Here is a 14,664-nt window from a genome sequence, read left to right as displayed (position 1 = left end):
AAATATAGTAAACTAACATTTAACAAAGGAACAGAGGAGAAAGGGTATAGTCTTTTCAACAAACAGGGCTGTAATAATTGGACATCCATATGTAAAACAATGACTCTAGTCACAGACCTGACACCTTTCAGGAAAATTAACTCAAAGTGGATCATAGACCTAAATGTAAAATGCAAAATTATAAAACTTCCATAAAATAAAAAGTAACATAGGAGAAAATTTGGGTGACATTGGGCTTGGCAATGAGTTTTTAGATGTAAATCAAAAGCACAATTCATGAATAAATAAGTTGATGTTGAGCTTTGTTAAAATATTTGAAAAGTCTTCTCTGTGAAAGACACTGTCAAGAGAATGAGAAGACATGCCACAGACTAGGAGAAAATTTTGCAAAACACATATCTGATAAAGGACTTGTATCCAAAATATACAAAGAACTCTTAAAACTCAACAATAAGTAAACAAACAACCTGATTGAGAAATGGGCAAAAGATCTGAATAGATATTACCAAGAAGATATACAGGTGGCAAATAAGCATATGAAAATGTTCTTAACATCATATGTCATTAGGAAAATGCAAGTTAAAACAACAATGTAATATGACTACACATCTATTAGAACCACTGAAATCCAAAACAATGAATGCTAATAAGGAACTCTCATTGCTGGTGGGAATGTAAAATAATACAGCTACTTTGGAAGACATTCTGGCAGTTTCTTAAAAAGTTAAACATAGTCTTACCATATGATTCAGCAAGCATACTCTTAGGCATTTACCCAATTGAGTTGAAAATTTATATACAAAAATCTGCACATAAACATTTATAGCAGCTGTATTCATAATTGTTTAAAACTGAAAGCAAGCAAGATTTCCTTTGGCAGGTAAATAGATAAACAAACTGTGGCATATCCATACAATGGAATATTATTTAGCAATAAAAAGAAATGAGCTATCAAGCCAAAAAGACATGGAGGGACCTTAAAGGCATATTACTAAGTGAAGGAAACCAGTCTGCCTGAGCACTCACACTTATAATCCCAGCACTACGGGAGGCCTGAGGTGGATTGATTGCCTGAACTCACCTGGGCAGCATGGCAAAACCCTGTTTCTACCAAAAATACAAAAAATTAGCTGGGCCTAGTGGCACATGTCTGTGGTCCCAGCTACTTGGGAGGCTGAGGTAGGAGGATCGCTTGAGACTGGGAGGCAGAGGTTGCAGTGAGCTGAGATTGCACCACTGCACTCCAGCCTGGGTAACAGAGTAAGACCCCATCTCAAAAAAAAAAACAAAACCCCACAAACCCAAACAAACAAACACAAAAACTGAAAACAACCAAGATTTCCTTTGGTAGGTAAATAAATAAACTATGATATATCCATACAATGGAATATTATTTGGCAACAAAAAGAAATGAGCTATTAAGCCACGAAAAGACATGGAGGGACCTTAAAGCATATTACTAAATGAAAGAAACCAGTCCGAAAAGCCTACATGCTGTATGATGCCAATATATGGCATTCTGAGAAAGGCAAAACTATGAAGACAGTGAAAAGATCAGTAGTTGCCAGTGGTTTGGGGATGAGGAGAGGGATAAATGGGTGAAGCACAGGAGATTTTTAGTGCAGTAAAACTATTCTGTCTGATACTATAATGATGGATACATGAATTTGTGAAAACCTACAGAACTCTACAGCACAAAGACTGAACCTTAATGTAAACTATGAACTTTAGTTAATGTATGAATAGAGGTTCACTAATTGTAACAAATGTATCACACTCATGCCAAATGTTAGTGAACAGGGAAACTGTTCAGGTGAGGTGGGCATATGAGAACTCTGTACTCTTTGTTAAAAAATAAAGACTATTAATTTAAAAAAATCAATAAATGATGGTTAAAAGAGGGAAAAAGTGCCAACTGAATGTCAGCCATCATTATTATTATTGTAGCTAATCCTTATGAAGTGGATAAGATTTGTTTTATGCCCTCCTTTATGTCTCTATTGTTTCTTTGTTTCTGATTATAAAAGCTCTATGAACTCACAGACCAAGCATTATTTAATTCTCTTAACAGTAAGAAAAAGGAAGTTCAGAGAATTGTCAAAGATTAATGGCAAATAAATGGTAAAGCTGAGACAAAATCCTAGTGTTCCAAATTTTTTGTATTCCACCTTGTTGTCGTACAATGATCAGAATTTTTATTAATTCTCTGTTTCAGCAACTTTCCACTTTGGCTGAAATGTATGATTTTCTAACTCAGCAAAGACAGCAAAGACTAAGACTCATAGTGATGGGGCTCAAGCCATGGCCTGCAATCCAAGGTTGGGGTAAATGAGCCACCTGGGCGGGTACAGAGGAATTGGCTCCCCATTTTAAATGCAGAATGAATAAAATGAACTCAAATTAAGCCATTTTAATATTTTCATAGTGCAAGTGAACTTTGTTCCCCAAGTTATAGAACTAACTTCCTGTGCTTTTAATGGTTTTATGATGTTACAGACTTTTTTTCTCTTCTCAGAAAATCGAGAAGGAAGCTGGCATAGGCCACACCCCATCCTCCTCTCTGAAGCTATGCTTATAGCTTGTGACATTATGTAGCAAACCAAATAATATTTAAGGTCGCCTTCAGCTCCTTTAGGGATGGGGGATCTATCCCGTTAACAGATCCTCAAAGTCATGTTGTTGCTAATCTATATTAGTTATCCCTCCTGCCTCATCCTTCTGAGAGGGTTCCTTTCTCTAGGGAAGGAGGGAGGTCCTCAAATTGTATACGACAATGCATGGGGAAGCACTTCCTCCACTGACCTCTTTCCAGCAGTGATTCATAATCTGGTAGACGTGTGTGGAGGCCAGCCGGGGCTTGTACAACCGAAATCCGGTACTGATGTCTTCCACCACCTCTGAGTTGCTTCGGTTTTCATACGGGATTTTGCCTTCACTGAAAACTTCCCACATCAGCACACCTACAAGAAATGGTGAGCACAGCACAGTGAATGACAAAGCCCACAGACAGCAAACAAACCAACCTGCCTCTAGAAATTACAGACTCCTTGCATTAGGATTCATGTGCTACCTCCAGAAGTGCATCAAGTCTACCTGAGGCTTATTAGGCCTGTCCTATTTTTAAAGAACTGAAATTTCCCAACCTTTGTAGTGGAGAAGGATTTTCAAGATGGACCCTTTGTTGTACCAAACTCAAATGCTACAACTAAGAGTTGTAGACTCAAATGCCAAGATGCAGGATGTAAATGAATGGAGTGCAGGAGGTGTGACACTATTGGGATTGGGGAGGATTGTGGAAAATGAGATAAACAGTTCTGTCTTAAGGAGACAGCTATGATTTGACTCCAACCAAAGTATGGCACATGAAAATGAGGGATCAGAATTGGCACATTTTCTGATTTTTTTAAAAAAGACGTCAAAAATTAAGAGTTGAACTTCTTGAATTTAAAAAATGCCATGTAGACCAAGCAAAACACATCTTTTGCTTGTCTATTTTTGACCTCTGATTTAATCCCTTTCTTTTCCTCTTCTGCCCTTGGTAGAAATGTGACACCTAGCTTTGTCTTTATCATGTGCTGATATATTCACAGGTTGTCAGAGCAAGAAGGCTGCTTGCAAATCAGCTAATTCAGAGCTTTTCAAAGGTTGTTCCAGAGAATCTTAGAGTAGACATTCCCAAAGCATGATCCCCAAAACACCTGAATAAAAATCATCTCAGAGTCTTGTTCAAATGGCAGATTCCTGGGCCCTAGCCCAAACCCAGTGGATCAGAATCTCTAGATGTTACTCAGAGGTGCCTCAGGAGTTGGAAATTCAGAACCTGACCCTAAATAAGAATGCTTATCACCCCAAGACACCATAATTTTTAGTGAAAATTTTTTTGAAAATGTGCCGATGCTGAAACATGGTTTCAGAATGATTGCTTTAATACACAGATGAGAAATGTATAGATAAAAAAATTGAGCAAAGTACAAAGAGGTTGACTTGTTCTGAATAGCACACTGCTAATTAGGGCAAAGAAACTTAAAACGTAGGACAAAGTCCAATGGGCTGATGCAGGCATGGAGTTTTCAGCTCATCCAGGTTTCTGTTGCTTAGGCTGGTACCCCCAGTTTTTTCACACTTTTTTCCATTGATCTCTCAATTCTGCATCCATCCATCAACCTCATTTCTGGACTCTCTTCAGATAATATATCCTAGACAGGGACTAATTTCAGCCCAACCCTGTAATGGTAATATGCCCCAGGAAATTCCCAGGCTGACACCCTTTGGCTGAATAAACCCCATTCAGAGTCAGAAGGTGAATGTGCTAAAGTGGCCATTGCTCCAAATGTCTCATTGTGGGGCCCTTGCTTGCTTGGTGCAGTGTGATCAGTTTCATCACCCATAGTGAGATGACTGCACATCAGCCCCAACCTTCCTAGTTATACACACTGGGGAGAGGGGAGTCATCCAAAAATGCTGTTAGTACAATTTCTTTCAAGTCCATTCTGTAACTTAAACCTGGTTAACAAAGTAGCTGCAAGGGTTGGTTAATAGGGTACTGTTTTAAGAAATAGGTAGGACTCATAATGAACAAACCACTTGGCTCCTAGAGATGGATAGACTAAAATGCTGCAGAAGATTTTTAACACTCATTCTTCTCCTAAAAGATTTACCTAGCCAAACTCCCCCCTGGTTTCTACTACTAGTAAGCCCTTGTCAAACCCTTCCTTCATACCGAATGGCAAAAATCAATCTTCAAGTAGTTTCTGTCCACAGTATAATTCTTGTAATCCAAATCAAAGAGGTTGTCTGGTATATTTTTTTGCACACTTTAGTATGCACAAACTATGACTTCAGGTGACATGGCAAATCCAGCAAGAACATTTGGCACATCCTGCAATACCAACATCATTCATCCCTTCATGGCCATTTGCACTTTTTAGAAATTCTAATTCCTTATGATGGCCTACCAGCTTCATTGCCTGTTGTTCTCCCAATAAGTCAGTACCCCTTGTTCTTTGGATGCACCAAGTTTTTGCACTTGCTGGTCCCTCTGTCAGGGACACTGTTCCCTGGCTCTTCAAATGGTGACAGCTCCCTCCTATCATTCAAGTCTCTGCTGAAGAATTACCTTCTGAGAAAGGCCTTCCCACACCACACTATTCAAAGCAGACCCTCTCTCTATCCTAGTCACTCTGCCCCATTACTGTTTTATTTTATTCATAGCACCTACTTATGATTGCCTGGCTTTATCTTCTATCCCTTAGCTTGTTTATTATTATTATTGTTTATGACTGTTATTATGATCTTTTGTGATTTTCTGTCTCCCCTCCCATCTCAAATTTAGTTCCAAAAGAACAGAAGTCTTTTCTGTTCTATGAACCACTGCATCCTCAGCACCTAGATTAGCCCTTGGCATAGAATAGATGATCAGTTAATTGTTGTTGAATGAATGAATAAATATTAATACTTATTGAGAGATAAGTATGGAAATGTAGTGTTGGACAAAACATGGTCCCTGCCTTCAAGGGGCTCATATTTGAATCTCCTGACTTCTCCAGCTTTTGACTTCACAGCAGCTGGCACCAGAACTCTTGTTTCCACTTTTAATTAACTCCCACCACCATGTCCAGTATCTCTAAAAACAAACAAAATGATGAAGGCCCTTTCATAGTTTTCGGGGCCTTTCTTACACAACCCTCCAGTGGGACACCCTCATGATATGATACAGGGTTCAGTGTGGGTAGGGTTGTCTGCATTTGATAAAGGAAACAGCTGGCCTGAAGCCCAGATCATGGGGCAGTGGGGCCCAGCATGACACTCACCAAATGACCACACATCGGACTTGCTGCTATAGCGACTGAAAGAGAAAACCTCTGGGGATGCCCACTTCACCGGGAATTTGGTGCCTGTGGAACTGGTGTACTGATCATCCAGAACGAACCTGGGAAGAGAGTGGAGGGAGAAGGTCAGAATGTTCCGGGGGCCTCAGTCCCATTCCTGAGACTTCACCGGCACCACATCCCTCTTTTACCTTGTCATCCCAAAGTCAGACACCTTGATGACTTGGTTTTCTCCCACCAAACAATTTCTGGCAGCCTGGAGAGGAGACAGGCAAACAAAGGCGGAGAGGAAAACTGTTGATGAGTCATCAGTAGTTAAGGAGTCTCCTATAATCACAGTCCTTTGCTTTACTGCAGTGCTGTCATACAAGGGCATCATGGAGCTTTACAAATGTTAATTAAGCCTCACAAATGCCGCTGGAAGTTAACTGGAAAGTTGAATGTGTAAGATCCACTATCAAGATGAGTAAGTTTATCTTCATTCTTGAGTTCTAATTAGAAATCCTTGGTGTTGTCTAACCAAAGATAGGCTCTAATGCAACCTGATGTGATAGGAAATGTTAACATCAGGGATAACAGGAAGAAAGCATCTCCCAGTTGACTAAATTAAGAATGTTTTGATGTTGTTAATCCTCTTAAAACTGTTCTTCAATAGGGAGAGTACCTGACCCCTAATTAGTATTATAGACTGTTGCATTGAAAAAGCCATTGGAGATAACACTCCAGTGTGTCTCAATTTTTTTTTTTTTTTTTTTTTTAGATGGAGTCTTACTGTGTCACCCAGGCTGGAGTGTAGTGGCTTGATCTCAGCTCACTGCAACCTCTGCCTCCTGGGTTCAAGTGATTCTCCTGCCTCAGCCTCCCAAGTAGCTAGGGTTACAGGTGCCCGCCAGTAAGCTCAGCTAATTTTTTGAATTTTCAGTAGAGATGGGGTTTCACCATGTTGGCCAGGGTGGTCTCGAACTCCTGACCTCGTGATTCGCCCACCTCGGCCTCCCAAAGTGCTGGGAGTACAGGCATGAGCCACCGCACCCAGCTGCATATCTCAAATTTTAATGTGCATACAAATCATACGGGGAATGTGTTAAAATGAATATTCCTGAGTCCCAGCCACCAGAGATTCTGAGAGTAGCTTAAGGGCTTCCCCAGTGTGATTCTGGTAGACCCTTGAATAATACCTTCAGACAAACTCAGTTTCCTCAATTTACCAGGAGGAAATTGAGTCACAGAGAGGTTAAGAAGGAGTGGCAGTTATCTCCATTTTGGAAGAATATAAACTGAAATGCAGGAGGTGAAAGAGTTTGGGCTGGGATCAGAGCCCAGAAGTAAGTCCTCATGAAGCCCTTTCCACTAGGACCACCCAAAGTAGGTGAAGGAAGGGAGAAGTTGAGAAAGGAAAGGAGATTATCTGTAATGTATTATTTATTAATGCGTTCCCAGTCATTTCAGTGAGAACTGTCCCTTTACCCTGGACCTGTGGGTGTTCACCCTGCATGCTCATACCAAGTCTCTGTGGATGACACATGCCTCTTCCAGGTAGGCCATGCCCTCACACACATCCAGACACATGCCCAGCAGGGTCTCTGCAGCAAAAAGTCCCCGCTGGGTGCGTAGATAATCTGACAGGCAGCCGTGCTCCATGAACTCAAACACCAGGCAGATGGGGGCCTGCTCCAGGCACACCCCATACAGCTGCACCAGTTTGGGATGAGAGAGTTTCCTGGAGGAAAAAGACAAGGGGTGAGATGGCCTAAACTCAGTCTCCCAAAAATGCCGAAAATATTATGGTACCAAAATAGCCAATGGTCATTTTGTCTAATTTATGGTTTGGATGAAAATAATATTCATTCCCTCCCCAAAACAAAAACATGTCATTGGAGCTGAGACCTGAAAAATGGCAAGGAGTCAGCTGTGTGTGTGAAGATGAGCAGAGGCCAGTGTGGCTGGCATGTCATGGACTGGAGGAGAGATGGGTAGGAGCTGAGAAGGGGGAGGTGGGCATGATCAGATTATGGTGGGCCTTGGAGACCACTGTGAAGAGTTTGATTGTATTCTCTGTGCAATAGGAAGCCACTGCTGGGAGTTTGCGCAGGGAGATAGTACCCCCTGGCGTTTGAATGGCATTTCAAGAACACTGAACCGATGTTCCCCCCAGAGTTTCTGCATATCCTTGTTCTGAGCACTCACATCATTACTTCAGCCTCCTCTATGAAGTCCTCTTCTGACATAGCCCCTTCCCGAATGGTTTTGATAGCCACCTTGTCCTTGTTGAGCCAGTAGCCCAGATGCACCAACCCAAATTGCCCACTGCCAATCTCTTGCACAAAAGTGAGCTCTGAGGGGTCGATCACCCATTTCCCTGGAAGAGAGAGAGAGAGTTCTCTGGGGTCAGCAAGCAGTAGATATAAGGTATTGGGATACCAGGGGACTATAAAGCCCTAACTAGAATTTTAGCCTATTGTTAATATAATTCAAAGATGGCAAATAAATTATCTTTTTCCCACATAATAACATAGGATATGCTAGAAAACTATGAAAATATGTGTGGGAAGGTAACATGGAAAGAAGGAGAGTGGCATTAATGAAGATATTAAAGAAACCATATTAATCAAAATATTAAAGAAAGGGTTCTTGCAATGTCCCATTTTTCTATGTCATTTTTCACACTAAGTAAATTTCATTGAGCTGATCATTCTTTCATTCATTCATCTATTAAGAGCACCTGCTATATACACATAACCCTATTAGGCCTTACTGGGGCAGAGGGGCAGTTAAAGAGAAAGATTTAAAGAGAATTTGTGCAGAGGCACAAGCTAGCACAGTGTCTGGCACATGGGAGGCTCTCAAGAAATGTTTAACAAACAAATACGAGATTCCGAGGCTCAATTTCCTCACCAACAAAATGAGTAGGCTGACCAGGTAATATCTGAAATCCCATCCAGCACGGACACATCAAGATTCTACATTTATTAGAATACCCTTATTTTCATAAGGAGGCTAAAGAGGCACTCTTTCCCCAGTGCTTGGTCTGGTACCTAAACAGCCAGATTTCCACTGCTTTGAGGCAGAGACTCAACAGCAGGCAGTATTGAGCACCTACTGTGTGCCGGACACGGTGCTGGTTAGGGATAAAGAAGCCCATGCGTGGCAGTGGTTCTCAAAGTATTGCCCTCTGACCACTTGTATCAAAATCACCTAGCATGCTTGTTTAAAATGTAGACTCAGCTGGGCACAGTGGCTCATGCCTGTAATCCCAACACTTTGGGAGGCTGAGGCAGGAGGATTGCCTGAGCCCAGGAGTTTAAGACCAGCCAGGGCAACATAGTGAGACCCTGTCTCTACAAAAAATTTTTAAAAATTAGCCAGGCATAGTAGCTACTTGGGAGGCTGAGGTGGGAGGATCGCTTGAGCCCAGGAGGTCAAGGCAGCAGTGAGCCATGATTACGCCACTGCATCTCCAGCCTGGGTGACAGAGGGAGATCATGCCAGAAAAAAAAGTAGACTCCAGGACCCTATCAAGGATTGTGTTTTGGTGAGTGTTTGGATAGGAGCCAGGAGTCAACATTTTTAATAAGCATTCTAGAAGACTTTGATGCACACTGAAATTTGAGAACCACCAAGCTAGGAGATAAGAAATGAAAATTAGACCAGCCTTCTCCACAGGCAGCACACAGTTGGGACCAAGGGATGCAAAGCCAAATGCCTTCAGAGTCCAGGCAGGTAATCCCAAGTGAGTGAAGCAATTCCGTAGGGCAAGAAAACATAGTAGGGGCTGCGGCACTGGAGATCATGCCACGCCTAAAGGTATTCCAAAGAATTTTAACACTCTCTTATGCAGAGAAACACTTCTAGATGCTCTCAACTTGCAGTTCTGGCAATAGTCTGCTACTCAACCAACTAGATGATATAAAAGTTCTAGAAGATAGGTGGAAACACAGTGCTAAGGCATGGTTTTCTAATATTTTTCTAATAGCATTTAGTAGGGTGCTCTGTACAAAGTAGGTGCTTAATAAACACTTCATTAATGAACTCTTCACTAAAACCAATGGCCACTGGTTTGACCTAGAGAAATGTGCTTGTATATGTACTTCTCTTACACACAATGTAAATATTCATTAGTGCCATCATCTCTAGATATATAATACACTTGTTTTAATGGTGATTTGTAGTCTGAGGAACAGGTAGGCTCATGGCCAGTTTATTCAGAATTTGCCCCAGACCTTTAGGGACATGAGTTTACATTCCTGATTGTACTGCTCACCGTATCTCAGCCCTGCTGTAACTGGGGCTTTCTGCCTCCCAAAACAAACTGGATACCGGAGTCGAGTCACCAGGCCTGGGTTGATTGAAAAGCCAAGAAGCAGTGGTTAGGGCTTTGCTCTAGCAACCATCTAACTTAAATCACTAAAAAAAATAATAATCATCATCAGACGCAAAAGCTAATTTTATTCTGGAAAACAAATCCCAAAGCCTAATTATTGATATCATATCCTCCTTGAAAACATCATAAGCACAGATGGGCAAGTGGTAAAATTCCATTATTTCCACAAGATAGCTTGCTAATAGAAGATATATAATATAATTAAATATTTGTCATATTTTTCTATTTGTATATTTATTTATTATTTATAGTCAAAAAGAAGCCAGGGCGAGCTTTTGCCAGTTTTCATTAAGTCTCCTGTGTGGGTGCTGATATAGTTTGGATGTTTGTCCCCTCCAAATCTCATGTTGAAATGTAATCCCTGGCTGGGCACTGTGGCTTACACCTGTAATCCCAGCAGTATGGGAGGCTGAGGCGGGCAGATTACCTGAGGTCAGGAGTTCAAGACCAGCCTGGCCAATGCGGTGAAACCCTGTCTCTACAAAAAATACCAAAATTAGCGGGATGTGGTGGCACATGCCTGTAATCCCAGCTAATCAGGAGGCTGAGGCAGGAGAATTGCTTGAACCTGGGAGGTGGAGGTTGCAGTGAGCCAAGATTGAGCCACTGCACTCCAGCCTGGGCAACAGAGCGAAACTCTGTCTCAAAAAAAAAAAAAAGAAAGAAAAGAAAAGAAAGGAAAAGAAAGAAAAGAAAAGAAAAGCCCTATGTTGGAGGTGGGGCCTGGTGGGATGGGAGGTGGTGTTTGGGTCATTAGGTGGGATCCATCACAAATGCCTTGGTGCTGTCACTGTCCTTGTGATAATAAATGAGTTATCACTCTGAGTTCATGCAAGACCTGGTTGTTTAAATGTCTGTGGCATCTTCTCCCTCCTCGCTCCTGCTCCTGCCATGTGATACTCCTGCTCCCCTTTTGCCTTCTGCCATGACTGAAAGCTTCCTGAGGGCTCCCTAAAAGCCAAGAAGATGCCGGCACCATGCTTCCTATACAACCATGGACCAATTAAACCTCTTTTCTTTATAAATTACCCAGCCTCAGGTATTCCTTGATAGCAATTCAAAAAAGTCTAACCCAGGTGCCCTCTGGCTTTGTCCTCTAGAGCAGCAGTCCCCAACCTTTTTGGCACCAGGGATCGGCTTTGTGGAAGACAGTTTATCCATGGAGGGATGTGGCAGGGGGTTGCTTTCAGGATGAAACTGTTCCATCTCAGATCATCAGGCATTTGATTCTTATAAGGAGCACACAACCTAGATCCCACAAGTGCTGTTCACAATAGGGCTTGCACTCTTATGAGAATCTAATGACGCTGATCTGACAGAAGGCAGAGCTCAGGCAGTAATGCTTGCTCACCTGCTGCTCACCTCCTGCTGGGCGGCCCGGGTCCACCCCTGCTCTAGAGCTTACCTCCTCCATTATGTTGGTGATAGTTGATGAGAAGAGGGATGGAATCGAACACATACTTTTCAGCCACATAGTATCGCTTAGGATTGTCATTTGTTTCCTTGATGTGATAATGCTTTATACAGGGATTGTTCTCACTTAAACAAATGAAACACAAATGTAATGATTATTAAGAAGCAATGTTGAGACACAAAAAAGTCTACGAGTATTAAGTTCTTATTATCTTTGTCTTATAACCTCTCACAAGGTGGCAGATATTGTTCAACTTATAAGTCTGTCTTGACAGATTGGGCCTGGGTGCTGCAGTACTGTGTTAAAAAGGACTCTGAGGTTGTGTCTGGACCCAGTGGACAGCAATGCTGTGATGGATTGGTGATGGTTCTTCCATTGCCACAAAATGAGGGAATGGAAATATTTGCTATGTGTTTGCCTTGCCTATTCTATGAATTTAACTGATTGTCAGCATACATTGAGAAAGCCTCTCTGACCCCTTCACCCTTATTTGACTTCATAAGTCAAATAAGCTGCAGAGGATGAACATAACAGGCCTGACTACCCTCCTTAGAAAGACCTGCTTGCATGGTTAACCCTTGGCTGGTGTTTGGGAACTTGGATTTCGGGAGGGCTCTTTCCCTAACTGATAAGGGTGGCGAGCTGTACCTAAACCGTCTGCTAGAAACATGTGTTTTATGGTGAACGCTTGTTTTCCTTTTGGGTATCTGGAACTTTGGCATGTGCTAGGCAGGGGCTGTCTGTGGAAACAGCCTCCAATAAAAGCCTTGGGTACTGAGTCTCTAATGAGCTCCCCTGGTAGACTGCTAACGTGTGGTTACAACTTGTTGCTGGCGGAATTAAGCACGTCCTGTTTGGCTCCAGTGGGAGAGGACTCTTGGAAGCTTGTGTTTTGTTTCCTCTAGATTTTGTCCCATGTGTCTTTTCCCGTTGCTGATTTTGCTTTGTATCACTTTGCTGTATTAAATCTCAATAAGTCTTTGTCCTGGAAGGCCTCCTAGTGAATCCCTGAAGCTGGGGGTAGTTGTGGGGAGCCTCGACACAGACTTTGTTTCATCCCTTCTCCGTCATACCTGTGGGGTTGCAGGTCACCTCCTTACTGTCTCCCAGCCATGGTAGAGGCACGGCCCCTCTGTGATGTACACTGTGTTCCCTCCTATCCCTGGATCGGGCCCTTCCTCTTTGCCACCTGCCCTTGCTCCACGTCCTGCTCACATCCTCAGTCTTCCAAAAAAATTTTCCGAAGACACCTTAAAAATTATTTGTCTCTTCTCTTAATTCTGACTGCACTTTGGTCATTGTCAAACAGCTTAGTTCTAACAAATGTTCTAATTAGAAGGGAATTTGAGACCTAGATAGGTTCTTAGGCATTGTTTTACAGAGAAGAAACAGGTACAGAGGGGCAGAAAAGCAGGAAGGATCTTGCAGTCCAGTTGGCTGGAGCCTGGATGTGGCTTGGCCCCTTCAGACCCACGGCCATAGGGAGGCACCATCAGCTCCTGAACCTCGGTTTCTTCTGTGTGAAATGAGCATAGTAATACCTGCCTTCAGGGCTTCTTAGGATTGGAAATGGTCTGCATATTTTCTGGCACATAATAAAGACTCAGTTAATGGTAGGTAGTTTTATGAGCAGAGCCAGAACTGGAGTTCATATATTTTTGCTTCCAGATAGAAATATCTCTTCTGTTATTCTATGTATTAAATTATATACTCATCCAATACAGTGCCAAGTATTTTATGTCTTTAGAACTCTAAAATTGGAGATGCTAATTGAAAGAGGACCTGGCATCCACTCCCAGCTCTGTCACTTTCTAAGTCTCTTAAGTTCTATCCTTGATCTCCATGGCTTTGGTTTTCTCGGAGTAAAGAGGGAAAACAGACCATTTCTAGTGAGCCTCTACCTCTTGCACTGTCTAACTTTGTTGTCTTTTCCCCAGTGCTCACACACTTCAGAAGTGTTTCTCTCCACTTTGCTGAGCAGAGTTAGCTCCATACCTTACAACAGCCTTGGTGAAAACAGACACGGTGTATGTTCCTGCAGTCCTGGAATCCCTTACCATGAAGGCTCCTTCTTTGCCCTGGAATGGTTAGAAAGAATGGAAAGTTAGTGATCTCAGGAAACCAGGCTTATGCCTCCAGCTCCACTTTCTTGCCCACAGAAGGAGGAAATACTGTAGGCCCACTTGGCATAGAGCAGATTTCAGTAAGAATGGCTACCGTTTCATTTACTCCTGTCCTTCCGTAGATATTTCTTGGTCTCCTACATGGATCCCAGACTGTTCTCATGCTGACATGAACCATGAATGGAGACAGAGACATAAGCTCTGCCCTTTTAGAGCTCCCCATGTATCAGACTCTTTACAGATATTTTCCAACTCTTACCACAATATTGCCATCTGGATATTGGTATCCTTAACCGCCAATGACACTGAGTGCCAGAGAGCTTAAGTGGCATTCCCACGACCCACAACTAGAAAGTGACAGAATTCGGATTTGAACTCTGGTATGTGAGCAAAGCCCAGCCTTGGTCTACTACTCCAGGATGCCTCCTTTCAAAGAATGTTAGAAGCTGCTTCTCCATTTCCCTACAAAGGCACAAAACTGTCCTGAAAACTTCATCAGTGTCTTAATGGGAATATATAACTTTTAAAAATTTTTTAGATTCAGGGAGTATGTGTGCAGGTTTGTTACATGGACATATTGCGTGTTGCTGAGATTTGGGTTTCTATTGAACCCATTTGCTAGATAGTGAACATATTACCCAATAGGTAGTTTTTCTATCCTTGCCACTCTCCATTCCTTCCAACTTTTGGAGTCCCCACTGTCTATTGTTACTATCTTGATGTCTGTTTAGCTCTCACTTATAAGTGAGAACATGTGGTGTTTGGTTTTCCATTTTTGTGTTAATTCACTTAGGATAATTCCTCCAGGTGCATCTATGTTGCTGCAGAATGCACAATTTTGTTCTTTTTCAGGGCGCATGTTACCCCATGGTGTACATGTGCCAAATTTTCTTTATCCAGTCCACTGTTGATAGGCAC

The 14,664-nt window shown here is 42.2% G+C and overlaps 1 protein-coding gene across 1 annotated transcript in view; it reads right to left on the bottom strand.

Annotated features, from left to right (window-relative positions):
- Window positions 1-14,664, bottom strand: part of ITK (IL2 inducible T cell kinase) — a 74,346-nt gene that overhangs the window by 3,376 nt on the left and 56,306 nt on the right. Inside the window, exons 9-16 of the mRNA NM_005546.4 lie at window positions 13,619-13,701; window positions 11,615-11,748; window positions 10,090-10,164; window positions 8,016-8,187; window positions 7,332-7,548; window positions 6,020-6,084; window positions 5,811-5,929; window positions 2,803-2,960 (exon numbers count right to left, since the gene is read on the bottom strand). Coding sequence (NP_005537.3) covers window positions 2,803-2,960; window positions 5,811-5,929; window positions 6,020-6,084; window positions 7,332-7,548; window positions 8,016-8,187; window positions 10,090-10,164; window positions 11,615-11,748; window positions 13,619-13,701 — 1,023 coding nt within the window. The remainder of the gene's footprint in view (window positions 1-2,802; window positions 2,961-5,810; window positions 5,930-6,019; window positions 6,085-7,331; window positions 7,549-8,015; window positions 8,188-10,089; window positions 10,165-11,614; window positions 11,749-13,618; window positions 13,702-14,664) is intronic.

Source organism: Homo sapiens, chromosome 5 (genome assembly GCF_000001405.40).
Source record: "Homo sapiens chromosome 5, GRCh38.p14 Primary Assembly".
NCBI lineage: Eukaryota > Metazoa > Chordata > Mammalia > Primates > Hominidae > Homo > Homo sapiens.
Note: the sequence above shows the minus strand (reverse complement) of the source record. Positions and strands in the feature narration are given on the sequence as shown.